The 27913-nt window shown below is 37.9% G+C and overlaps 1 protein-coding gene across 1 annotated transcript in view, besides 1 other annotated feature; it reads right to left on the bottom strand.

Moving 5' to 3' along the window:
• Positions 1 to 27913, bottom strand: part of XKR4 (XK related 4) — a 440027-nt gene that overhangs the window by 203117 nt on the left and 208997 nt on the right. The window lies entirely within an intron of this gene.
• Positions 24909 to 25410: an enhancer, noted in NCBI's record as "NANOG hESC enhancer chr8:56226088-56226589 (GRCh37/hg19 assembly coordinates)". NCBI's record gives its function as "activates a minimal SCP1, AML or CMV promoter by ChIP-STARR-seq in primed H9 embryonic stem cells {active_cell/tissue: H9 hESC(primed)}" and the evidence as "EXISTENCE:reporter gene assay evidence [ECO:0000049][PMID:30033119]".

Raw genomic sequence — 27913 nt, 5'->3', positions numbered from 1 at the left:
AAACAGTTCAATTTACTTATTGCTCAACTTCATCTGGAGCAATCTTACTGGCCTAAGAAATGTTAGCTTTGTCTGGAATCCAAACAATCAAGTATGATTTTTCTTGAGCATTTTTAAATTGTCTATGTAAATCCAAAATATCCAAAAATCAACCCCTAAAGCTTAATTTGGTTGAGGAGCTTCAGGCTTCAAGTGCTGATGATTGTGTCCTCTCGGTTCTCTTTACTGTATTGCGGCCAGCCTCCCAGTTCAGCTGTACTCCAGCCACTGCCAATGTCATTGGCTTTGCACAGGTATAACCTGACCACATCTTGTTGAGTTGCAGTGTTTGCTCCCACTTTTTGTCCCAGGACTTGTCAGAAACAATGTGTAAATAAGAGGGTGTCAACATGTGATGGGGCACCCCTTGACCAGGAAGGATGGGAGGAGTTATTGGATAAATGCCCCCCTCTATCCTGTCTCCATGTGTCCAGCTCCCATGCCCCACAGTGGTGACCAGCTTGCCATTGCACCCTGGGCTAGCCATTGCCGCTTTCTTGGCTCCTACTCTGGTGCCCTGGAACCACAACCCAAAATACAGCACATGCACACTAGCTCTTGTCACAGGCTGGGCTTTGGAGGGACCCAGGGTAAGACGTTTACCATAAGTGAATCAATAACTTTATTTTTCTCACCAAGGATTGTGTGGGAGGGGGATCTAGGAAAACAACAGTTGCCCAAATAAAAGATGCAAATTTTAAAACACAATTTGGGAAAGCAATTAGCATTTTAAAAAACAGATTCTTTTTTAAAGAGAAGATTTCTCTAATATCCATGTGACCTTCCCTTTTCACAATGCCTGACAAAAGTTTTACATTTTTTTCTTATTGTTCAATTAGCTTTGTCGTACAGGGCAGGCCAAATTGGCCTATTTCTGTAATCAGTTTTTGATTCCAGTCAGCTTAGGCAAGAGACAATATGGGAGACATGCTGTTCATAGCAAAAGGAAGACCCTTCATATTGAATATGGCAGCAAGGTAACCAAATGTCACATATTATGACTTTCTCATAACATAGTGAGGAAAATATTCTGCCTTTCCTGTCAAGAATAAGAAAACTACTTATCCTGTTCTCAAAAGGACCACAGGATTCAGAGCTGAGACAAGCTAGCAAAGGGTATTCCTTTAAAAAGCCTTTATTCTAGGTATTTCAGTGATGTTTTCAGATTATGTAATTTTTTCACAGCCACTCCCTTCATATTTACTAATTTATTAAAATAGCTGTTTATCTTACCATTGCCCCTGCCACTGCATACAATTCTTTCATCGTTTCCCTTTGTCGTTCTTTCTCTTTCACTGGCCTCTGTCTTTCCTCCACCTCAGTTGTTAATATGATATACCCTCCTAGATGTTTTCACCCTTCCCAGGCATAAACTGGCAACAAGGAAGAGAAAATACAGCTTGCTGCATTTCTGAGCAGCCTTCATTACACATGAAAGGACTGCAATTACTAGTTGAGAAACATGGCCCTGATTCATAAAATATCATAAAGAAATATTAAATTGCATGCAGACCCTCTTAAGGTGGAAAGGAGGATAAAGAAAATATAAAAACTGGTGAGCAAAACAAACAAACAAAACCCCATGACTTGATTAATGGGGCACTCTCTTCAAGGGTCCAGCTTGGGTTCCAGAAACCCCCATGTTGATATTTCTAGGGACTATAATTTCTTTTCTGATAAAAGGCAAATTTTGGTAGTAGGAGACACTAGGGCCCTTTTTAGTGATGAGACCAAATTGGCTCCCCATCTGCTGTTTCCCACTGAATTTCTGAATATATAGATGGCAGTCACATCCACTGTTGGGTAAAGGCTGGCCAGGATGTAACTGCGGCACACAGAAATGTTTCAGACCCAAATATAAAGCGTAATATTTAAAGTAAGTATTCCTAAAATGTCAAGATTTCCACCAAAAAAACCCTTGCAAGTTTAGGATTATTTGCTTTATGGAGTTCAGCTATGAAATAAATACATGTTCAGGAGCTCATTTGTTTAATAATAGAATAAAGGTTCGTGTGCGCCTGATGCATGCACACCACTAGGCTAGTCACTGGGAGAAACCAGTTCTTGACCTCATGGTGCTGATGGTTTAATAATAGAGAATTGTAGTGTACCCCCCAAAATTGTAAATCAAATATTTAAATATACTCTGGAATATCTTTCTCCCTCCCCCTCTAATCTGCCTTCCCTTTCTCCCCCAGGCAACCATTAAAATGTGTTTAATATGCATTATTTTAGTTGTCATTTGTTCTTTAAAAAATCGTTTCATTTAGAAGTAGTTTTAGGCTTACATAGAAATTGAAAAAAATAGTATATAGAGTTCTCATGTGACTCAGCTTTTCCCAGTGATAACATCCTACATAACCATAGCACAATGATCAAAACCAAGGTATTGACATTGACATTGGAACAATGCTATTAACTAAGTTACAGACCTTATTTTGACTTTTGCCCAGTGTATTAGTCTGTTTTCATGTTGCTGATAAAGACATATCCAAAACTGGGAAGAAAAAGAGGTTTAATTGGACTTAAAGTTCCACATGGCTGGGGAGGCCTCAGAATTGTGGCGGGAGGCAAAAGGCACTTCTTACATGGTGACGGCAAGACAAAATGAGGAAGAAGCAAAAGTGGAAACCCGTGATAAACCCATCAGATCTTGTGAGACCCATTAACTATCACAAGAATAGCCCAGAAAAGACCCGCCCCCATAATTCAATCACCTCTCACCAGGTTCCTCCCACGACACATGGGAATTGTGGGAGTTACAATTTAAGATGAGATTTGGGTGGAGACACAGCCAAACCATATCACCCACTTTTATAAGTACTCTGTTTTTCTTTTCTTTTTTTTTTTTTTTTTTGGTATAGAGTTGCATAAAATTTTTTATAACATATGTGGATTCATGTAACTAACACTGCAGTTAGGATGCAGATAATCCAAAATTAACTCAATTATGCTACCCATTTATGGTTCTAACCACCACCAACACTAACCCTGACAACCACAGATCTGTTTTCCATCACTACACTTTGACAGTTCAAGAATGTTATATAAATGGAATTATATGGTGTATAACATTTTGAGATTAGATTTTTTTCATTCGGCATAATGTCTTTGAGATCTACCCAAGCTGTTGCATGTATCAATCATTCATTTCTTTTTATTGCCAAGTAGTTTTCTTGCATAAATGTACAAGTTTGTTTATCCACTCACCCTTTGTAGGACATTTGGATTGTCTCCAGGCTTTTGCAATTATGAATATACTGCTACAAATATTCAAATACAGGATTTTGTGTGAACATAGGTTTCCTTTCACTGGAATAAATAACTATAAGTGGGATTGCTGCTTTACATGATAATTGCATGCATCACACTCTAAGACATTGACATTATTGGCATTTGTTTTTGCATTTGTTCTATTGGCATGCATTTTTTATTAAATGATATTTTGTTAAAAATATTTTCCTTTATTTTTTTCTCGCAGTGTCATGTTTTTAAGATCTATAGATATTGCCATGTGTATGTCTAATTCACATAAAGATTTTTTTTTAAACTGCTGCATAGTACTTCAAAGAAGCTCTCTACTTCAAATAATTCTATAATAAGTCATTTTGTGAAGTAAATGATTCTTTGGAAATATATGCACCCCACAAATAATTTGTTTAGTGAATTTAGATTTCTGCTTCTTGGGTTTCCTTAATATAGTTGTTAACTTTATTGCCTCTGGGCTTGCTTCATGGTTTTATTCATAGATGAAAACATTATCAGGTACTGACAGCAGCCATCTGAGTTTAGACCCAGGTCATGTCTACAATCCAGGCCCTATGTTGTCTAAAATTTTTCCAGAGTTAATAGCAGTAGAACTGACCCTGCCATACATGGAGCAGTTTCATAGGCTGAGGCTTTTCTTGTACACTGCTATCCATCTCTAAAGAGCTGATCCAAAGCCTATGGATGAAGGACCCAGAAACAGTATGAAGTCATCCAGGAACAGTATCTACATTAGCAAAGGACCCAGGAAAATTAGCTCCAAGTGCTTGATTTTCACACAGGACTAGAGGTCACATAACCCCAGTCCTTCAGACATGTGTCTGAGGGAAATTTTGTTTTTTAGTGTGACTTCCTCCTGTGGAAGACAGTAATTCTAGCAATGGCCCACACATTATCTGTATGTGTACACCTGCACCCATACACATCTCAGGCCATCAGGTCATCAGTTGCTTTATTAAAATTACTTTAAAATTCTGAAATGCACAGGTATATGAGGTTGGTCTTTATGACGGCATGAAGTTGGGAGTGAAGAGAGGGGTCCAGGAATATTGCTGCAAGTTTGTTCAGATCAACCTTGAGTATACATCAGAGGCACCTGGAGGGCTGGTTAAAACACTAAGTGCTGAGCCTTCTCCCAGAATTTATGAAACAGTAGACCAGGGATAAAAATCAAGAATTTGGTGATCCTGCTGCTCTGAGGGCCACAGATTGAGAAACTGTTATAGATGGAGATGTTATCATGACCCAGCCCTAAGCTCCAATTATGTCTTATTAATATGTGCACTTATGCCAGTTCTCCTGATTTAATTTATATCCTCCAGACATGCTAAGGACTTCCATAAATGTATTTGTGAAGTCATTTACCCCATATGTAGCAGCAGACACTTCTGTTCTTCTATGTAATCACTTCATAGTGATTACCAAACACTTGAGCTTCACCATTCTAGGTTATTCAGTCCTCTCTGACATCTATGAGGTAATGTCCTCTATGTTTATAACTTAGGTTTGTTTAATTAGTAGGTCTTTCATTTCCTTCTTTCATTTTTCTCTATTAAAATTGTATAGTGATGTCAGAAACATGGTACACTAGGAAACTCCAGATCCTTGTTCTCTCAGGTGAACATTAAGTAAACAACTAGAGTGGCTAAAATAATTTTATAGGAGCACTGTAAATCAGTCAAAGATATACAGCAACCAATCTCCTCATTAAGAGAAAACTAAATTTAAAATGCTACAACATTTCATGACATTTTTACTCACCTTTGCCCCATCCCCTCCTTGATGTGGTGCAATACAGTCTGGGGAAAGCAGTGCTCCAGTCCCCAGCTCCTTTCTACAAACCAGGAGTGTGAATCAGACCAAATTTGTAACATTCTACCTTGTCTGGGGACATCTTCAGATAATGGTCTCTGTGTCACCTAACTCAGCACTCAGACTTCCAAAAGTGGCACAGCTTGAATTTCAGGCTAGAGAAAGCCATTGGAGGCTATTGTTATAACTCAAGAAAATCGCAAGGGGACTACACACCCACAGATACCTGAGGCCAGAGATTACTGATTGAGAAATACAATAGAACAGCTAAGGTCATGAGAAAGAAAAGGGGTGAAACTCCTAGGGAAATTAAGATTTTTAAAAGCAGCCATGTATATGGGGGAATCAGAATAAAGCACACTCATAGGCCCAAGGTAGAGGCATGCCCAGAAAAGTCCTGAGAAGACTTTAAGTCTTCAGTTTGAGCTGATTAATGAAGGTCTTCCCCTCCATAGAGCCAGTTTGCAAAGATAGAGGGGTGGCTATTTGTTCAAATGCCCAATTTTCAACAAAATCAGAAGGCATACAAAGACATGGACAAACATGGCCAATTCAATGGCACAAAATAAATCTCCAGAAACCAACCCCGAAGAAACACAGGCATCAGACTTACTAAACAAGACTTTAAAATAACTATCTTATATATGCTCAAAGAGCTAAAAGAGAACATGGACAAAGAACTAAAAAGAAAAACTCAGGAAAACAATGTATCAACAAAATTAGAATATCAAGAAAGAAATAAAATTTTTAAAAAGAGAAATCCTGGAGCTAAAAAATATAATAAATGAATTGAAAAATTCACCAGAGGGTTCAACAGCAGACTCAAAACAGGTAGAATAAATCAGCAAACTTGAATTCAGGTCATTTGAAATTGTCAAGTCTGAGGAAAAAAAAAAAGAAGAAAAAAAGTAAATAGAGCCTGAGGGACTTATGAGACATCATCAAGCAAACTAACATACATATTATGGAAGTTCCAGTAAAAAAAAAAATGAAAGAGAGAGAAAGGAATAGAGGGATTACTTGAGGAAATAATGGCCAAAAACTTCCTGAATTTCAGGAAAGATACGTGTATACAAATACAAACAGCTGAATGAACTCCAACTATGATAAACTTAAACCCATAGCAAGACACATTATACTCAATAAGATAATTAACACTTTTCTTAGCTGAAACCTTGCAGACAGATGGCAGTGGGATGATATATTTAAAGAACTGAAAGGGGGAAAAAACTGTCAACTAAGAATTCCATATCTGGCAACACTGTCCTTTCAAAATGTGGGAGAAATTAAGACACTACTAGGTAAACAAAAGCTGAAGAAGTTCCTTGCAACTAGATATGTCCTACAAGAAATTTTAAGGGAGTCCTTCAAATTGAGGTGAAAGGATGCAAGATGGTAACTTGATGCCAGATGAAAGCATAAAGTTTTCTGGTAAAGGTAAATACATGAATAAATATAAAAAAATTATAATTTGTTTGGTAACTCCAGCTTTTATTTTTCTGCAGGATTTAAAAGGTAGATCCATAAAAATAACATGAATGTATGTTAGTGGGTATATGCTATATGAAGATATAATTTGTGACATCCATAATAAAAAGTGAATGAGTACAGTTGTAAAAGAGTAGTTTTTGTGTGTGATTGAAATTAAAGTTTTGTTATAACTTTAGGATGTTATATGTAATCCCTATGGTAACCAAAAAAAGAAAATCTATAGACTATACACAAAAGGAAACGAGAAGGTGATCAAAACATGTCACCACAAAAAATCAACTAAATACTAAGGAGGGCAGTAATAGAGGAAATAATGGACGCTATAGCTAAAAGACATACAGAAAACAACAAAATGATAATAGTAAGTCCTTCCTTATCGGTAATTATTTTGAATATAAATAGATTAAACTCTCCCAATCAAAAGACACAGATTAGTAGAATGGATTTAGAAACCAGCACCCAATTACATGCTGTCTGTAAGACACATATCTTATATCTAAGAATAGATTGAAAGTGAAAGAATAGAAGATATTTCATTCATACAGTAACCAAAAGAGGGTAGGGATGGCAAACTAATATCATACAAAATATTATAGACTTTAAGTATAAAACTGTTATAAGGTACAGAAAAGGACCTTATGTAATGATAAAGGGTCAATTTATCAAACAGATTTAACAATTACAACGTATATGCCTCAAGCATCAGACTTCCTAAATATCTGCAGCATTGACAGAATGTAAAGGAGAAGTTGACATTCCTACAATAATAGTTGGAGACTTCAATACCTGACCTTCAGTAATGGATAGAGCACTAAAAAAAAGATGAACAAGGAAATAGAAGATTTGAACAATATATGCCCAATTAGACTGAAATACATCTATTGAACTCCACCCAACAACGGTAGAATACACATTCTTTTCAAATGCACATGAGATATTCTCTAGAACAGACCATATGTTAGGACACAAAACAAGTCTCAATAAATTTAAAAGGACTGAAATTATACAAAGCATCTTTTCTAATCACAATGGAATAAAACTAGAAATCAATGGCAGTAGAAAAACTGGAAAATTCACAAATATGTAGAAATTAAACAACATACTGTTAAATAATCAATGGCCCAAGGAAGAAATCACAAGGAAAATTAGAAAGTATCTTCAGGCAAATAAAAATAGAAACAACACACCAGGGGCTGGAGGCAATGGGGAGTTATGGTTTCATGCGTACAGTTTCAGTTTGGGGTGATGGAAAAGTTCTGGCAATGGATGGTGGTGATATTTGCACAATAGTGTGAATATACTTAATAGCACTGAACTGTATACTTGAAAATGATTAAAATGATTAAAATATAAAATTAAATTTTATATTATGTATATATACCACAATAAAAAAAGATTGTACAGCAAGCAAATGATTCCATGGACTCACAACTTGTACAAAATGCAGATCATTGTAGCCAGTCACATGTGAGCCAATACTGCAGTCCTTTCCCCACTCTTGCCATCTTGTCCTGGTCAGCAAGATTGGTGAGTTTCTGAGGGAAGAAGTACTTCATGCCATGAACACTCACGACTTCTGGGGAGGAAGGGAATGAGCCTTATCATGGAGACTCATGGAAGGTGCTTGGATGTGGATGACTTGGGGATATGTAGGTGAAGATTCCAGGAAGTTTAGGATTTCAGTAGAAAGCTGCAAGTGAGCATAACTTCATTACTGCTGAATTCAGTTGTTTTGGGTAGAAGAAGCAACCCTTCAAATCCATGACATTAAGAGGATTTAAAGGTAATTAATTTACTCTGGACAACAATGTATTTTTTTTTAATAAAACAGCATGTTTTTTCCATTTTTTACTCTGTGGGAATTCACTACTTACACAAGTGATAATTGATTGCTTACCATGTGTCAGATATATTACTCCCTTCTGGGCATTTTTTCATTTAATCCACATTTCTTGCTACTGGGGTAGAGATAATTTTATTTTTCTAATTTTTCAGGTGAGGAAACTGAGTCTTAGTGAGATTGGGTCACTGGAGAGAAGTCCCCTACCTAGTAAGTGGCACAGCTGGGCTTTAGACTCAAGTAGGTTTGATTATCATGCCCATGCTTTTAACTGCTTACCTACACTGCCTTATTGGTTTTTGAGACTGGTTCTGGTAGAAGATAAATATTATATGTCAATTAAAAATCACCAGTAATGTCTGATCCAGCTCAAATATGGTGATGGTGATAGTGCTGCTGCTGACGATAATACTGATGATGATGACACTCCTTATATTTATAACCACACCCAATTCATAAAGTCCCTTTATATATATTTGTTCACATAATCCTAGAATTAACCCTGAGAATTAGTTATTATTCTTATTTTCCATATGGAGCCTGAAGCTTGGAGAGATTAAATGAAAACAAGAGAGTGGTAGACTCATATTTAAACCAAACCTCTATGCCTAGTATCTTCCATTACATCATGCTGCCTCATGTACTGGGGTGATTGTGCTTTTGGTAGTCGAAAGTGGGCATAGACAGGGAAACACACAGCAATGTTCTTGTATACTTCTTGATGATAAAACAATAGGATTTATTTGCATGAGTGGATTAAACAAAGCCTTATAACATATGGAACTTGGAAACCTCAATACATTTTAGAGAAGGAACAAGGGAAGGAGTTCCTACAGAAAGCCTAGGAAGTACACGCCAGTAAACAAGAACTAGGTATTTAGAATCTCTAATTACTAAGTTAAGACATGTCAAATGTGATTATGTTCCCTTTTATTTAGTGTATTACTTTTATTGCTGAAACTTAGTCCATGTAGAATATTTATGTAGACCAGGGGTGTTCAATCTTTTGGCTTCCCTGGGCCACATTGGAAGAAGAAAAATTGTTGTGGGCCTTACATGAAATATACTAACACTGACGATACCTGATGAGCTAAAAAAAAAAAAGTGCAAAAAAAAAAATCTCATGTTTGAAGAAAGTTTACGAATTTGTGTTGGGCAGCAATGCAGAGCCGTCCTGGGCTACATGCAGCTGTGGGCATTGGGTTAAACAAGCTTAAGACTCTATAGGCTAATTTGGAACTGTAGTCTCCCTTTTTCTCAACTTTTTCCTCATTCTATTTTTCTTCACAAAATTTAAATATATCAACTCTGAGTTCTACTATCCTGGGGCAGGGGCAGGGGCATGAGATTTAGGAACTCAAGTTTCACGGTTGAAAAGAAAACACAACACTATTAAATCAGGATTGTTATGAAGATTCAATGCATATTCACTGAGGGGCCACCTTGTTCCAGGAACTGATCTAGGCACTGGAGACAGAGCAGTGGACAAGAGAATCAGGGACCCTTGTGCCAGGGTGTCTGCGAGGTAGTGGAGGAGAGACCATGAGCAAACACACCAACAAGATAATTGATAATTTCTATGAAGAAAAGAAAACATGGTGGGTGTTGGTGGTAAATTAGATTGGGTAGTTAAGGACAGGTTCTCTGAGGAGGGGGTAGTAAAGCTGAGATCCGAAAGAAATGGCACTGCCAACCCTGTGAAGATTCAGGGAAGGGAGCTGCAGGCAGTGCAAGCACAAGGGGCTAAATCTGGGTTGAGTGAGGCACATTCAAAGACTAGAAAAAAGGTCATGCGGTGGCATCACTATGAGCGACAGCAATTGAAACTGGAGGGAGCCAGGGGCTGGGCTCTGCTCTCTGTGCAATGTGAACCCATCTAATTGCTACTCTGAGGAGATTGGATTGCAGGAAACACAGGTGAAGCTGTTGTGCTCTTCAAGTAAGAGGTCATGGTAGTGAGGTTGAAAGGAATTAGATGGGCTGAAGGCCTTCAGAAGGTCAAAGTGACCACACTTTCCAAAGGACAGGATGTGGGGAGTGAGGAGATGCATCTCAAGACAATGATCCATTAGGAATAATTATATAGCACTTGCATGGTATCTCATGTTTGGGACACTGATGTTATGTTTTGGTGAAGGTGGACTACCTGAAGACAGGGGCTGCCTCTTCCTTATTCACCATGTACTGTTTCAGTAATATTATGTATGGGCCTTTAACTTGAAGCCCACATATGAAAAATTCAATCAATAGTGATATGGTTTGACTGAGTCCCCACCCAAAATCTCATCTTGAATTGTAACCTCCACGTGTCAAGGGCAGGACCAGGTGGAGGTAATCGGATCATGAGGGTGGTTTCCCCCATGCTGTTCTCTTGATAGTGAGTGAGTCTCATGAGATCTGATGGTTTTATAAGCATCTGGCATTTCCCCTCTTTCTTTATAAATTATGCAGTCTCGGGTATTTTTTCATAGCAGTGTTGGAAAAGACTAATACAAATAACCATAAGAATGTGAACTTTTCTAAGATTTGGTTGACATCATCACCACTAGATACTAGCATTTTTATCACAAAGCTGTATCTAATTTTTTGCTGCTAGAGTTATCCATGTGAATTTGGCAACTAGCATCTTATTTGTTCTGGTTGAAAGGTTGGACAGACTTTATTTTTCTCCATGTAAAATGTCACAAAAGTCAAAGCTATTCTAGAGAACATTTCTTTTTACCCAGATATTTTGCTAAATTCTTCTGTCAAATATGGTTCTTTATGACCAAAGAATGTTAATTAACATTAAGACAATCACTGAAAAGACATGCTATACTTATATGTATTAAAAGACACAAATACTATTTGATTGCAAGGTCTCATTCAAGTATGGCTCCAGCAAAATACAACCTTGAAGCAATTTAGAACTATAATAATTAGAATTATTATGCATTAGGCTTATTTTAACTCTAGTTTGACCTCTGTGCCATCTCCAGCAATGAATAAATGATATGGTTAGAAATTGAAAGAGAAACTGCCTTAAACAGGGTATTTGAGTAGTTTGTGTACTTTATGAGCACCTACTTTCCTTCACACTCTTGATTTGGGGATAGCATAAAAGATGCCATCCAAACAAAAAGTTTTTTTTTTTTTGGCTTTCTTCAAAGGAAGAGATGAATTTTGAGCATATATTATAAACATTTTATTTTTCTAAATGGGGGAGAAAACCTAGCGACTTCAATAAAAGTGCCCTGACTTTAAAAGGTCACTTCTAACCAAATTGTGAGGTAATGTTAATGATTATAAATTGTTTACAATGATTATGAAGCTAATGATTTCCCTGTTCCTCTCATTTAGGTGCCTACTGACCTTATGCTTTGATTTCTGGACAAGCTAGACAAAAGCATTTGGAATGATCTGACATGTTTCATAAACGCCTTGCAACGATCTTAAGTGATTGTGTTTCTGCTCTTGAGGCTACCAGCCTCCGAGGTCTTTTTCTCGAATAAGATGACTTCAAGCATAAAGAAGCAAGGGAGAGAGGTTTCCTCATTGTCCCTCAAAATCATCTTGTGATCCCACATTTGACCACTGGCCACATTTATTTTCTGGCTTCTTTAGGCCGTCTTCTCCTTGAAAAGTCAAATTAATTAGGCATAAAAACTCAAATATAATCTTGCTGCCTAAGCTCATAACTCAAATCCGCCTAACTTTCACAACTTTTAAACCAGTTGTAGGCTGGATGTGGTGGCTCACACCTGTAATCTCAGCACTTTGGGAGGCCGAGGTGAGCAGATCGCTTGAGCCAAGGAGTTTGAAACCAGCTTGGGCAACATGGTGAAGCCTCATCTCCATAAAAAGTACAAAAATTATCCAGGCACAGTGGTGCACGCCTGTAGTCCCAGCTACTCAGGAGGCTGAGGTGGGAGGATCACTTGAGTCCAGGAGGTGGAGGTTGCAGTGAGCCGAGATTGGGCCACTGCACTCCAACCTGGGTGACAGAGCAAAACTCTGTTTCCAAAAAAAAAAAAAAAAAAAGGAAAAAAAATCAGTTGAGGGGAATATTGTGTAGTATATCTTACAAACCAGAGAGACTTAATTTATAATCTCGTTAAACAAATCACATAAGCACTTTGAAACTCTTCATCTGCAAGATAAAACAACAACACTGATCATGCCTGGTTATTGTGAGAACTAGAATTTATGTCAAGCACTCATGACAGGGCCTGGCATAGTAGGCATTAAACAAATGGTGATTATTACAATCGCCAACATCCCCACCCAGGTGTATATGATTTTTTTGCCTGAACAATTGCAGTATACTAACAGGTCTGCCTGTCTCCGGTATTCTTTCCTCTGTATTTATCTTCCAAAATACCCCTCATTATCAGGTCATTCGCAATTCAGAAGTCCTCAGTGCCTCTGTTGTCTACAGGATCAAGCCCACATTCTTCGGTTTGGCATTCAAAATCACAGGCTAAACAATTGGCTTAATCCATACTTCATCCTTATCTCTATTGCATAAACCCTGGCACATTTATGCTACTGATTTGAAATTTATATTCCACCTTATATAACAGTTTCCTTTCTGTCTGAACAAGTTTTATCTCCTCAACTATATATCAATTTCTTAGAGAGGAATTACCAGGTCTTATTCTTTTGTAAAAATTTCCCCATAGAATCCATTTGTATAGTGTCTCTTACATAGACAATTTTTAAACAATTGTTCCTCACAGTGATAACATTTGGGGCCAGGAAGACAGGAAATTATGTCTAACAATGATGGGGGAGTGAGCCATATCTTGACATCTTGTCACCTCTTCTTGAATCTTCTTAAAATTATTTAGGAAAGAAAAAATAATATTTAAAATAGAAATAAAGGAAGCTTATGTAAAGCTTTTCTTAGAAGTCTTCAAAGCTCTTTAGGTTTAGCATATTTTATTTACATTCAAATTCAAAGGAGACATTTAAGAGTTGTTTTCCTCATTTTAGTTTTAAAATTAACTGAAGACCCCGCAGGGTAAATTATTTGCTCATGCCAATACAGTAAATCAGTGGAAGATTTGGGGTCACAACTCATCTTTCTGCCCCCCTGCTTGGAAATTCAAGAGATGAGTGGAAGAAATCCCTGAGGTGAGAAAGCCCTGACGCCCATTCAAAGGTTAGTGCAGTATAGATAATTAAGCCCAATCCATTAAGCTCAGAATACATCTATAGGCAAATGTATAGGAGGGTTAATTAAAACAGTTTCTTCTCCATTTTTGTTTTCTGATTATAGCACAGCAACACTAACATCTTCCAAATGGTCTATTCTTTGTGCTAAAATTACGCCTCATATTTTACCCTTTAACTAGGTTTTTATTTATTTTTTAAAATCTCTTTGATATGCATTTACTTAACATCTACTTTGTGGCACATAAATTTTGTGGCACATAAAATACATGGTCCATCTTTTGAAAGGTATGTAAAAGAAATAGAAGACTCAGTTTTGACTGTCAAGGATCCTTAATTCTTACTGAATGAATTAGATATACATTAAACAATCAGTGACCCTGTAGAATTATGTGATGAGAAAGGTGGTAAAATATTTGTATAGGAGGCAAAGTTATTTTAAAGTTTGATATGGGAAGGGAAGGTTTCATGAAGTTGGGAGAGGTAGTGGTAAAGGAATGGATTTTTGAATCAGAGTTTGCTGAGTTTGAAACCTGGTGCTGACTCTTAATATCTATGTGATCTTGGAAAAGTTATTTCCTGTCCCCTAGTCTCAGCCTCTTCCTACAGAAATTAGACATACACATATCCCTTAATTGGAACACTGCATTCTAACACAAAATCAAATGCATATCAGGAACTTAATAAATGATAGTTTTCCCCTACAGTGAGTTAAGCCATAAGTAGAAATGAAGAGATAAAGGGAAAGGCATTAGGTCAATAGAGCACTGAGCAAAACTTCGTGGTCAGAGGAAAATGGCATGTTTGTATAATAATGAGAACATGTGTACTTCAGAGGATAATAACAGGACCAGTACACAGTGTCTAGGATATGATCTAAAGTTACATGACATTCAAGAACCAGGAAAATGTGGCCACTTCTTAAGGGCAAAGAAAATAAATGCTGGGTGCGGTGGCTCACACTTAATCCCAGCACTTTGGGAGGCCAAGGTGGGTGGATTGCTTGAGCCTGTGATTTTGAGACCAGTCTGGACAATGTAGCAAGACCCTGTCTCTACAAAACATTAAAAAAGTAGCCAGGCATGATGGCTTGCCCCTGTAGGCCCAGCTACTCATGAGGCTGAGGTGGGAGGATTGCTTGAGTTCAGGAGGTTGAGGCTGCAGTGAGCAGCATTTGCACCACTGCACTCTGGCCTGGGTGACAGAGCAAGACCTTGTCTCAAAAAAAGACAATAAAAAATGTCAACCCTAAGATAACCCAGATGTTAGAATTATCAAAAATATTAAAATGACTATTATAACTGTACTATATAAGATAAAGGCAAACACATTTAAGTAAATGAAAAGGTTGACATTCCTAGCAGAGGAATGAAAGCAGAGGAATAAAAAGTGAACTAAATGGAAATATTAAACTTAAAAACACAATATCTCAAATTTAAAAAAAATGGCTAGACAATAGTGGAATAGTGATAATAGAGAAGTCAGTGAACTTGAAGACAGATCAATAGAAATGATCCAATGTGAAGAACAAAGACAAAAAAAGACTTGGAGAGGGGGCTGAAATGAACAAAGCATTAAGGACACATAGAACAATGTTCCACAGTCTCATACTGAGAAATCCCACTTCTTGGTATTTACACAGGAGAAATAAACAGAATTATATACAAACCTGCACATACACATTTACAGAGGTTTTTATTCAAAATTACCCAAACCTGGAAACAACCCAAATGTCCTTTAACTGGTGAATGGATAGACAAATGGTACATCCACACAATAGAATACTACTTAGCAATAAAAAGGAACAGAGGACTTATAAACACAATAACATGGCTAAATCTCAAATCTCAAGTTTCCAGTGAAAAAAGCCTGTCTCAAAAGCTGCATATTGTATGATTCCATTTATATGACATTCTGGAAAAGGTGAAACTATAGAGAGAAAAAAACAGGTCAGTGATTGCCAAGGGCAAGAGTTGGGGTTAGGATTGACCGCAAAGGGGTAGCACTACTGAATATTTGGGAGATGGAACTGTTCTGTATCTTCATTGCAATGATGAGTATAGGGCTGTGTGCCTTTGTCAAAACTCATAGAACTCTACACCAAAAAAAGTGAATTTTACCACACATAAATTAATAGTAGTAATATTTACCACATATATGTTAAAAAGCAAAATTATATACTCATCTCAATAAATGCAGAAAAATCACTAGTTATAATGTAACATCCATTCATGATTTAAAGTATTTTAGCAAGCTAGAACTATAAAAGAAATTTCTTAAGCTAATATATGGTAAGTGCAAAATCCTTACAGAAAACATCATACTGAATGGCAAAACGTTGAAATATTTCTTTTTAATATGAGAAAAAAATACAAGATGACTATTTTTACAACATTTATTCAACAACATACGGGAAGTCCTCACGGGAAGAATGCAAGAAAAAGAAACAAGATGTAAATATTGACAATAGAAAACAGAGTTGCCATTTTTGAAAGATAATATGATTGTTCCTATATTACAACAAAAAGAATAGAAGATAAATGACAGTGTTAGCAAAATCAATGAACAAAAATAAAATGCAAATATAATGTAAAGACATATCACGTACTCTAGCAGGGAAGTATAAATTAAGATCTTAATGAGATACTACTCTATACTCATCTGACTGGTAAAACTTAAACAAATATCTGGCCATATCATGTTTGGTAAGATTATAGAGCAAGAGAACTCGTCTTCTCTAATGGTAGGAGTATAAATTGTTAAAATTCTTTGGAAAATAATTTTAAAATATCAGGCAAATTTAGAAATGCTTCTGCCTTATGGTTTCACAATTTCAAGCAAAAGTCTGTTCCACAGAAATGTTTGAACATTTGTAAGAGATGGCATGTATGATAATGTTCATAGTTGCTGTTTTTACTAGCAAATGACTTGAAACAGGAAAATTTTCAACAACAGCGGAATGAATAAATAAATCATAATGATGACACATTCAAATACATATGGACATAAGAATTACTATATACAGGTAAAGATAGAGAAACTACAGCTATAAATAAGAACGTGAATGAGATTTAGAAACATACTCGAGTGAAAAAGCGAGTTAAGAAAGACTACTTGCAACGTGAATCCATTTATACAAAATTTGAAAAACATGCTAAATTAAGCAATTACTTAGGGATAAAAGCATGTGGTAAACCTATAAAGAATGGTGTAAGAATAAAGAACACAAAATTTAGAATAGTGGTTATCACTGAGGAGACAAGCAAGGTGGAATTGGGGAAAGTCAGGAAGGATGTCAAAGATTGTAAAGATAAGTTATTTTTTGTTTGTTTGTTTGTTTGTTTTTCGAGATGGAGTCTCGCTCTGTCACCAGGCTGGAGTGTAGTGGCATGATCTCGGCTCGCTGCAACCTCCGCCTCCTGTGTTCGAGAGATTCTCCTGCCTCAGCCTCTCAAGTAGCTGGGACTACAGGCGCGTGCCACCACGCCCAGCTAACTTTTGTATTTTTAGTAGAGACGGGGTTTCACCACGTTGGCCAGGATGTTCTTGATCTCTTGACCTCATGATCCACCTGCCTTGGCCTCCCGAAGTGCTGGGATTACAGGCATGAGCCACCATGCCCGGCCCAAGATATGTTTTTAATAGGTGGTGGGTTCACAAATATATGCTGAATGCTAGATGCCCTTCATCTAGTTTATACATTTTTAAAATATCCACCATTTAAGGTAAAAATTCTAATGAGTAGGTAGGGAAGGATGAGTCTACAAGGAAGACAGACTATGAAGAGGAGAAAGCACAGAGTATGCTGTCCCAGAGTCAAGGCCAGGGTCTATAGTCTCAGGTGCAGATGAGTCCTGGAACTCAGTAACACCCTCCGTGAGAACAGCTTTGTTTTGATGAAGTAGTTCATGGGAGGGGTAGGCTGAGCAGAAAGTCAAGGTTAAGAAATGGCACCAATAAGTGTAGACAACACTTTCAGTAATTCATGTTGTAAAGAAGACCAGAGAGACAGGGCTGAGGAGCTGGTGATTAAGGAGCCTGCTGAGGGAAGATTTTGTTTTGTTTAGTTTAATAACAGAGAGAGGAACTGGGTTGAAACTAATGACAAAGAATTTATTGGAAGAGAGAACTCGAATCTGCAAAATAGAAGAGGGATAGTCAGTGGTTTAGGTGTTATAAGAAGGCAGGAGGAGGCAATGACCAAAAATAAAGCCAGGCAGAATGTTTGGACCTAGATGCAAGGAAGCTTACCTCCTCGTTTCTATCAGGGCACAAGAGAGGCAAGCAGAGATAAGATGCAGGTGTGGTGGTGGGAGGCTGAGGGATTCCAATCTGGCTCTTCTCTTCTATGCAAAGAAGGATGTTTGGGGGAGGTAAAGAGTTAAGTGAAGGAAAGAGAAGACAGATTAATGGTCCTTTCATTCAAGGAGTTTGTGGCTACCTTAAATTTAGAGGGAGACACACCAATACATAAAAAACTACGACAGAAGCCTTCTGTCGTAGTTTCTGATGTTTCTAACACAAAGAAAGGTGTGTCTCATGCCAGTGAAGGAACCGAGTCTGACTTTATAGAAAGGGTTACTACTGAGTTGGGGTTTGACAAATGATTTGGTATCTGTTATACATGCAGACTGCCAGAATCAGGCATAATGGAATCAAGCAATATTTAGTGGAGATGAAAAAAGAAGGATATGCTCCCCACAAATCATGTTAGGATCTGAGGCAGACCTAATATAATGCCCCTAATTTAACATCTGGATAAAACATTTCTACTTTTGTGAAAAGAAGGCCAAATACCGTGAGCTTTCATAGTATTTATGCTAATAGCAGAAACTTTCTCCCCCTTCTACCCTTTTCCAAAACAAGCTACTACTCAGAGCTTGGTTGGTTCAGCGTCAATTGGGTATCTTTTGTTGGTGATGAGTGAGTTAATTTACATTGAACTTAAATCTCTTCCTTCCTTCAGATAGGAAGTTAAGGGTAGGTAAGTACTTTAACTCCTACATATTATCAGGGCAAGTTCTGAGCCTAACAGGTGAGGTCTTGAGGTTGTACAGAAGTCAAGCAAGTTCTGACTTTTTTCCTCTCACTAAAAGTACTCATTGTTTGAACCAACTGTCAGCTCTGTTGTTTTGCACTGTTAGAGCACTGCTTTTCAATGACTGTTTTTCAGATCAATACAGAGTAAGGCTTTCTAGCCTGCCTAACGTAATATAACACATTGAACGCACTGGCTGCTGAATTATTAAGCCCTTGTGTTCTGCAAGAGATGGTGCAAGAAAAATAAGTGCTAAAATGAGAGAGGACAGAGAAGTAAGTTTCACCTTTCCAGCAAGAAACTGGGAGAGAAAGACATAACGGCTACTGCTAAGGTTCACCCTTATTCTACATCTTCAATTAATGCTCCCTCCTCTTGACCACACTCTTTGCTAAAAAGTACAGATTATGGATCCTGCAATCAGATGCACATGAATTTCATTTCTACCACTGCCTAACTGAGAAAACAAGGAAAAATTATTTCATCTCACCAAGTAACTTTTCTTTATGTCTAAAATAAAAATAACTTACTTCCTAGAATTGTAAAGACTAAAGGAGATGAAAATAGCTTTTGCCTAATGTAGGTCCTTCATACTTTGTTATATTATTAATATGTGCATTATATTTTATAGCATTTTTTATGATGTGCCTTGAATTTCATAGTTGTGTCCTCTGACTGTAAGCTCTTCCAGAAACAAGATTGCAACATATTCATCTTTGAAGGCCAGCAGCACGTTACAGTTTCTTGCCCATGAATCAATGTAAATTAGAAAATAACTGCTTCATTTTTTTATCCTTACAATGGAATGGCCTTTAGAAACATCGCAAATGACTTCACTGCAATAACCTTTTGGAGTTCAATGGTATGTGCATCAAAAGAGTGACATATTTGATACATGAAATGAATTTAGATCCTTTTATTTCATGTTATGTTAATGGTCAAAGAATAATGCTTTTGCATTTCTGTAGTAAACCATTTAAAATCTACCAAAGAACCACAAATCGCAAACTATACCTTACTTGTAGGTATCAAGTCACAACTTGTAGATCTAGGTTTTACTTTTCTTTTGATTTTTTTAAAGAAAAATATCACAGGGAAAAAAAAGTAATATAAGAGTTCTTTTGATCTGACTTGATTATGAATTTTTGTCAGTGTATTTCTCTCTTTTCTTTTTCACAGGATGTCACAATGACCTTAATAGTTTTCCATGGAAAAAATTAGTTGCAGAGAGAACAAGCTGCCACAAAGAGAAGAAAATGAACAAAAGTCAACTTATGATTTCATGGGAGGCACCTCTCTTTTGCTTTGACAATAGGTACTGTACTAGAACATTGCTATCCTGTACTATTGAATTTTAATATTGAAATTAATTGTTTAGGTCTTCAAATACTCTTTCTTGTTGTGGATCTACATGGCCCTACTTGTTAATTTGTCACATCTGATAATAGAGAAACTTATAACAACTCTTTTCCTGCAAAGTTGGAAGCACTGTCTTATATGAAACACTGCTCTGGAGGTTGCGTGCCTGATGGGGGCAGGTATGTTTGTTTCTAATGTTCTGCGTGTATGTTTTCCCACTTGAACTGTTAGCTGTTTCAATACAGTAACCATTCTGTATTCATCTTTGTACTCCAAAAATTCATTGTAATGTTAGGGTAGTAGGTTCTCAATGAATGTTTCCAGGTAGCAAGCATTAATCTCATTTAACAAAAAGGTGATGCAAGCCCAAAGCAAAATTGCATTTTGCTTTCTCCCTGGATTGGGTCTATGCCATGGAGAGATATACTTTGGTTTGGTCGAGTTTGGGACAAACTGCTAATGAGAACAGAGAAGAGGCACTGAGGTCAAAATTGTTTGGTTTGTGCCATCAAATCCTCCTGTACTTCTTCTAGTTGATAGTAGGTGTTCAACAAACTCTCATTGACATGAACAGAAAGACTTCACTGCATTTTTATAATACTCCATAACAACCATTTATTGATGTTTGAGATATTTATAATGCTACTTTTGACTTCCCTCAGGATTATCTGCTCTTATAGTACCTATTTGTCATGATTTTTATAAAATGGAAGATATGGGCTAATGATTCAGGCCAGTCAGGGTAATTTTTAGGAAGATACTTGCAAGATAAATGATCATCCTGCCTGTCTCCCAGTAACCCTAAAATGATCTAGTGTCAGAAGACATTGATTCAAGCCAACAATTGAGGCAACTTAGCATTAAGCTAACTTTCTACTGGTTTCAGTCCAACCTTGAACATTGGTTCTAATAAACTGGATTATTACTTGGTTCCTGTGAATGAATTACAGTGTGGTACTACCATTTCATGACCTGGCTTCCTATCTGTTTTCTTAGTGGTTTTTATTTTTATTTTTTCTGGATTCTCCAACTACACTTAGATTGAAGCCATCTTCCTTGGGCTCAGAATTCTGCTCCTGAGTCTCAGCCCCTGATGTTAGGACCTCCTATGTCATGAGGACCCCTATGCCAATCATCAACTCTCTGTATTGCTGGGTGATTTCCACAGTATTTTCTTGACATCATGCTTTTGTTGACCACGTCCTGCCTGAGTTGTCCACAGTGGTTCTCTGTCACTCACAGTAATGGGGTGACCTCCAGATACTGAGCCCTCCATCACTGCCTGGGCCTAGCATGGACTGAGGTCTGACATGACAACTGGCTGGAAGGCTGGGGCTGAGCTGAAAATGCCACAGTACTGTCTCTTATCCATAAATAAATCAGAGCCAATGTTAATATTTAGCATGAAAACTCTTTATTTTATGAATCCTGCTTTCTCAGATGCAGTATGAGTTATTTTTTCTAATGAAAATGAAATGTGAGGAGGTATTTTAATTTATCAAAGCTTTACCCCAAAAAACATAGACTAAAACCCCAGCCTCAAAAAGACACAATAAATCTGAAGTTAGAAAAATAACAACCAATGGGGGGAGGGGCTTTTTATTTGTTTACCTGTGATCAATCATTTCGGGGACATTAGATGCAAAACTCAGACTAATTCAATGCTACTTTAGATATAAGTAATTATTTTGTTCACTCATCATCTATGATAGAATGCCAAGTAATTTAGGTAAATATTTCACATGAGTGATTATAAAATCTTTCAGAAATAAGCAAGCTAATGATTACTATAATTTTGTTTTTTTTCCTAGTCTGTTAAGTTTCCAGAACAGATGTCTATGTACACTTTGGCATAAAAAACAATTCTTATTTTAGAGGGTAGTAGAGGTAGTAGGTGCCCTCCTCTGGGAGACTTATTTTTTGAGCCACTGAAAATAAATATTTATTAAAAGCTTCCCAGCCAGCTATTCCTTTTAATTAAAAGTCCCTTTAACATCCGATATACTTCTGTTATTCCCTTAAGGACCATTTTAGCTTCAATCTGCATTTAATATTGAATTTGCACCAGGGAAATTCATTAGATACAAGCAGTGTAAGAATTCCTTTATGTTTCCATCATTTTAATTCAGTCCAAACCATAATGCCTCTGAGTCATCTCAAATATGCTTGGGGGTTGCGGTAGAGAAAGGGTGGAGTGGATCGGAGGAAGGAACCAGGTAAAGGGGAAACTGGGTTTTCAGATAGGTTTGCTGCAATCTAGGGATGTGGTGGGGCAGGCCAGAGGAAGGGGCAGAGGAAAAGGGAGGAACTGGACATTTGGATGGGTTAGCTCAATCACATAGTCTCAGAACACTACTGTGTTCTGTAAACCATCTTTCTAAACCAAAATCAATGTGTGATTTTCTTCCAATGTCATCTGTAAATCATAAATATTCTTAACAAAGATTCTGTCCTAAATAGATCTATGCTATAATCACCTTTGACAAAAGGAGTATATCTAGACAACTCATGACTTTAATCCTGAACCAAAACTATTTGTCTCATCCTTGGCTTTCTCGCTACATACCAGGAATCATGAATGAGGAGAGTGGGATGGACCACGGTGAGGCTGGAGATCGGATGTGACTGTCCTATTTTTCACAGCCTGAGAATCGGTGCTACTGGTCACAAGATGTGGAAGATTTGGTGTTTTGGTAGGAAACATCCCTCAACAGATTTTCAAAATAAGATAAAATGGCTGTGAACGTGCTTTAGAGACTGTAAATTATTAGCGTGAGCTGTCACTGTTACTTTGGAGGGGGCCACATTGAATGGGTTCATCTGAAATTAGAAAAATCCTTTATGGTGCTAAGACTCCATTCATTTGAATTTTGAATTCATGTTGCAATGATTTTTTACGGTGTAGGTGATTGTTTTTGGCTTCTTCTAGCCACCAGCTAAGATCTAAGTCCCAGAGTAGCAGGGACTCTGTGAGATTCATTAGTGAGTCTTCTTGCCTTTAGCTCAAATCACACTAAATCATGAGGGTCCATACAATTTTTAGGATTTTCAGAGAGATGCTATCATGTTCCTGTGTTAAGGTTTTTACTTGGAGAAGAGCATGGAAAATATGGAAAGTGCATTAAAAACTCCAGTGTTTCTTGAATAGGTAGCCACTCTCTCCTTTTCACAGAACATTGATTAAACACACCTTGGGGGTTTTCTAGACTGACGAGGCATGGGCATAATGAGGTGGTTTTGTAGCATAAAAAGTTCTTTCCATTTGGTTTTATGTTTTTAGAGACAGGGTCTTGCTCTGTCACTCAGGCTGGAGTACAATGGCATGATCATAGTTCACTGTGGCCTTGAACTCCTGGACCCAAGCAATCCTTCTCCCTCACCATCCCAATTAGCTAGGACTACAGGCAAGTTATTCCCATTCAAACGGGTGCTGAGTCTCTCCTGGGAATGGCACAGCCTCAGCGTGGGAGTGCCAGCAACAGCCCTCTCCAGAAGGTCCTCCAGAGAGCAGGTTAGGCGCTGCCACACATCTTATTTACTTATTTTGCAATATTAATAAGAACATGCTCCTCACGGACACTGACCAAGGCTGGGCGGAAAACCCAACCACTTATTGCATTTACAAAAATTCCCCTGGAACCGCTGGACTCCGAACACCTGACATTTAGTGCCTGGCTTACTTATCTCTGTGTCCTTGCAGCTCAGAATAGTGCTGTGTACACAACAGCTGGTCCATGAATGAGTGCTAAAGCTACCTGCTAATAAAATTAGTATCTGTCATTTAAAATAGGTCTCCCTGTCCCATTCCACTCAGGTATCAAGTTGACACATTGCTCTAACCTGGACCTGCTCTCTCACTTGAACACTCAGGAAATGCATGTATAGTTTTAAAGATCATTTGTAATGAAAATGACACCGTGAAATCACCTAGTTTAGGAACGGCAAATGCACAGCGTTTTTGCCCTCTCTCCACTCCTGTCCTTGCAGTCAGCATGGCTCCAACACAGTCCCTCTGGATACACATTCCATGTGGACCTCTCCAACCACAGAGCCTTCTCCACACTGAGCTGCCACTGCAGAAGAAATGGCCTTCCCTTCTTGAATGTAGTTTATCCTCACCATTTTGCGGATGGGAAAATTGAGGTTCAGAGTGTGAAATGACTCTCACAAGAGTTAGGTCGGGGAGGTGGGATTAGCTCCCAGACTTTGGGAGCCTGTTACCAATTGCCCTAATGTGCACACGCATTCTTTCTCTCTTTAGTAGTTTAAATTCAGAATACTTAATGCTAAAAATCAAATATTGTGGTCAAAAAATTCTAACTCTTAAAGAAAAGTATTTCTCCTTCAAGTTCTTATCAGAATACCAGCCAGTCCTCCAGGAGTCTTTTTGTAATAAATATAGCAAAGCAGATTTGGCCCTCACAGGTGTTTGTCTCAGCACGGCGGTTTCCCCGGGAGCTGAATGTCGGGACAAATGGTGGCCTCTCCTGCTGTTCCTTGAGGTCGGTGCCCCAGCGATGGGGGGGCCTCAGGCAGAATGGGCATCCCAGGGTTTCTTTAGCCCAGAGAAGACCTATTATGACTACCAGGTCTCCTGGGGTTGGAACTTGCATGCCTGGGGCTGGGATGTAATTGAATTACCACTGGTACAGGGAACAACATCCCTGACCTAAATTCAGGGTGTCTGTCTGCCAGCTTTTGGCACGAGTTTGGCTCATAATTTGACTCACATTTTAAAATCTTAATTGCTATAATAATTGGGTCTGCCAAGTTCACAAGCCAGCCAAGGTCTTAGAAGAATTTTAACCAAAGGATGGAATTTCCATCTGGTGCTGGATGAATCCTGAAATTGTAGCTGCTTCTGCTGCCCCTCCTCCTGCTCAGATACATTTATTTTAGGACTGATCACATTTGGAGATTGCTTATAAAATCATAAGTTATCATTATTATTGGTAGCTGTGATGGACAAAGATTAGTCTGTTCGTTGAAAAGGTAGGAAACTGTGGGTGTCCAGGGTTTAAATGACTAGGTCAGAAACACTCATAACTCTGCAGAAAAACTTGGTGAATTACCTCACCTCCATTCTAATTCGTTATTCTGTATTCATTGGTTTCCCAGAGGAATGCTGCTTTCAAACGAGAGCCCCCAAAACCCCAGCATGAGAAGATCTCAGTGGCTATCCTCCCAGGCCAAATCACTGGAGGCAGCAGGTGACTCGAAGTTGCTTTTGACATTCAACACAGTTCACTTTCTGTAAAAGAATGGCATTGAGGAATATGGAATTTACCCTCATTTTAACCTTTATTTCTTTCATGCCAGCTGGTTGATGGGGTATTTGCCCAGACTGAACAAGTAGACACCCCCATCTAGTGGCTTCCAGAGTACCCTGCTCTCTCTCTCAGCATCTTGGGCCTCTTTTGGCCAAAGACCATGCATGCTGCCGCTGGGTAACTTGTGCTCTTTCTTCCACAAGGGCCAGAGTGCACCTCAGGAAACTGCCAGGGGCAGTGCCTCCAAAGCCCTAGCACCACTTTGATCTTTTCCCGAAGTAAATTTAGCAAATCAGCACTCCCTTCATTTCACCCATTACTCTAATAGCATCCTCAGAATGGATTGGACATGAAGCTTGTACAAATCAATGTTATAGCTCCTTGCCAATTACTGTTTATCCTACCCTAAAATATTCCTCCTACTCATGATAGTAATGTTGTAAAAAGAACACAATGTATATAGCAATTTTTTTTTGAAGAGTGAATTAGGGAATCTATCAAAGCACTAACAGACTGGGAAATGCATAATAATAACACTTTTTACTTCTATGGTTTCTATCCACCAAGGGAATTATAGATGCTTTATATAAAACACAGGATTAAAACAGCAATTAAAATGCTATAAAACCAGAGAAAGGAAGCAGAATAATGTAACCAAACAACTGTGTCATATGAAGTTCCTTAAGAAAAAACTAATCAAATGTTTTGTCTTGTTTAAAGAATCTAGTTCAGAACTATCCTAGGGAGGAGACAGAGTCCACATCTAAGATCCACAACAACCTGGGTCCAGTCTCTTTCTCCTTGTCTTGACGCCATCTATGAATAGAAGATGATAGAAAGGGTCTTAGATTATATAGCTGTCTTTGGATTCTAGTGATTAGAGACAGTTTTATGAGAAAAATTTAAATTAAACCCAAAAGAGGAAAAGAATACCATCAAATAAAATAGATGCTCATAAAATTCATGAAAAGAGAATACTTCTAAATAAGATCTTGATGGGCGTTAATTACATCAATGATGGACTATTGTTCTACCGACATTCCAACATAAAGAATTTTGGTATTCATGCTAAATTCCAATGATCATTCCCTAAAGTGCCTGCAGTTTTGACTATTTAGAGACTTATTGTTTAAATCTCACCAAAAGTGCTAAATTGGGATCCCAGGATAAGAATCTCCGAGGTGGCAAAAATAACCATAGTGTGGGGTTTGTATCAACTTCTTAAATATGCCTTCTTATTCTGCCTTTGTAATTGGCTATATAAATAAAGGAAACAAATATCAAATTCATTACTTAAAGTTCTCATTCCATGAACCTTGAAAAAGACAAAGGTGTCATTATAAGTTGGCAACTATGAATTTTTGTTATTATATTTTATTAACTTGAGGAAATGGTTTAGTAACCTCTATTGATAGAAATATCCTGGTCTAATCTCCTATTTTCAGATGGAAAGTGCTGATTTTTCTCATTAAAAAAAAAAACAGAGTCAGAGTGAATAAAGGCAAAAACTTCATTGTATCCACATCTAAAAATCACAGAACAGGGTTCAAAGTGGCCACATTTTTAACTAAAAAATCACAAGAACCTCATGGCTGGAAGCTTTTTAGAATAATTATCCTCATTTGACCATGAAATTAAATGGTGCTAGAACAGGCTGTTTCAGAGCAAATTTAACCAGAATCTACTGATTTAATTTTTAATTCAGTAGCTGGTAGATGACTCTGGACTGCAGACCAAGGAGAAGCCAGGGTTTTATTGACATAATCAACTGCAGAAGCTCTTCTTGTGTTTAGTTTTTTCTTTTCTTTTTCTTTTCTTTTTTTTTTTTTTTTTTTTTTGCTAAATTACAGAGACAGTTTCAGTTATTTTAGGTTCTATATGACTTTTCTTTTACCTTCCAGCATGCAAAGGAAATAAAAAGAATTTTAAATCTACCCAACTTCAATTCTTTAAAAATGATGATATGTCCCCAATGACTTTTTTCTCTATAACCTGGGGATGCTAATAGGAAACTAGGCTATCATTTCCATTGTATATTAAGAAATTTGTACCCTTTTCTTAGCTATGATACTTGTCTGTAACAAACTGTGTTAGACCCTAAGAGCCTACAAATTAACTCACCTGATTCACTGCATGATCTGGGTTCCCCTCACCTTCTAGCCACATCTCCAGCTGCCCCGCTCCTTTGATCTGGTTACACTGGGCTTATTTTAATTCCTTGAGTATCATGCTCTCTTCAGCTGGCTGGACCCTCTCACCACTTCCCTATTTTGCTTGACTAATTATTTCTCTGTCTTCATTTGCTCCTGGGGGCCCTCTGAGCCCCTCTCTGACACTCCAGGCTGAACTGAGGCCCTCTCCTGGGAGTTCTTTAGCAATTGTGTGGCTGCTCATGTGTTTCCCCATGACACTGTGAGTGTCATCCATGAAGGCAGAGGAAGGCTCTGAGAGCTTGCATATGCTGTCATTGCTCTGCTGGTTTTCCCTTGGGTCCCTTTACCAATTCGAGGCACATGAGCTCCCTGTGGGCTTTCACTCCCAAAATGCCAACTGTTGCAAATCTTTGCCAGAAGGCTGCCCTCAGGCAGCTGGAATTTGCTCAGCTGGCTCACACATGGAGCAGGTAGTGCCTGGGAATTCATG

The sequence above is a fragment of the Homo sapiens genome, chromosome 8 (assembly GCF_000001405.40).
Source record: "Homo sapiens chromosome 8, GRCh38.p14 Primary Assembly".
In the NCBI taxonomy this organism is placed as follows: Eukaryota; Metazoa; Chordata; class Mammalia; order Primates; family Hominidae; genus Homo; species Homo sapiens.
Note: the sequence above shows the minus strand (reverse complement) of the source record. Positions and strands in the feature narration are given on the sequence as shown.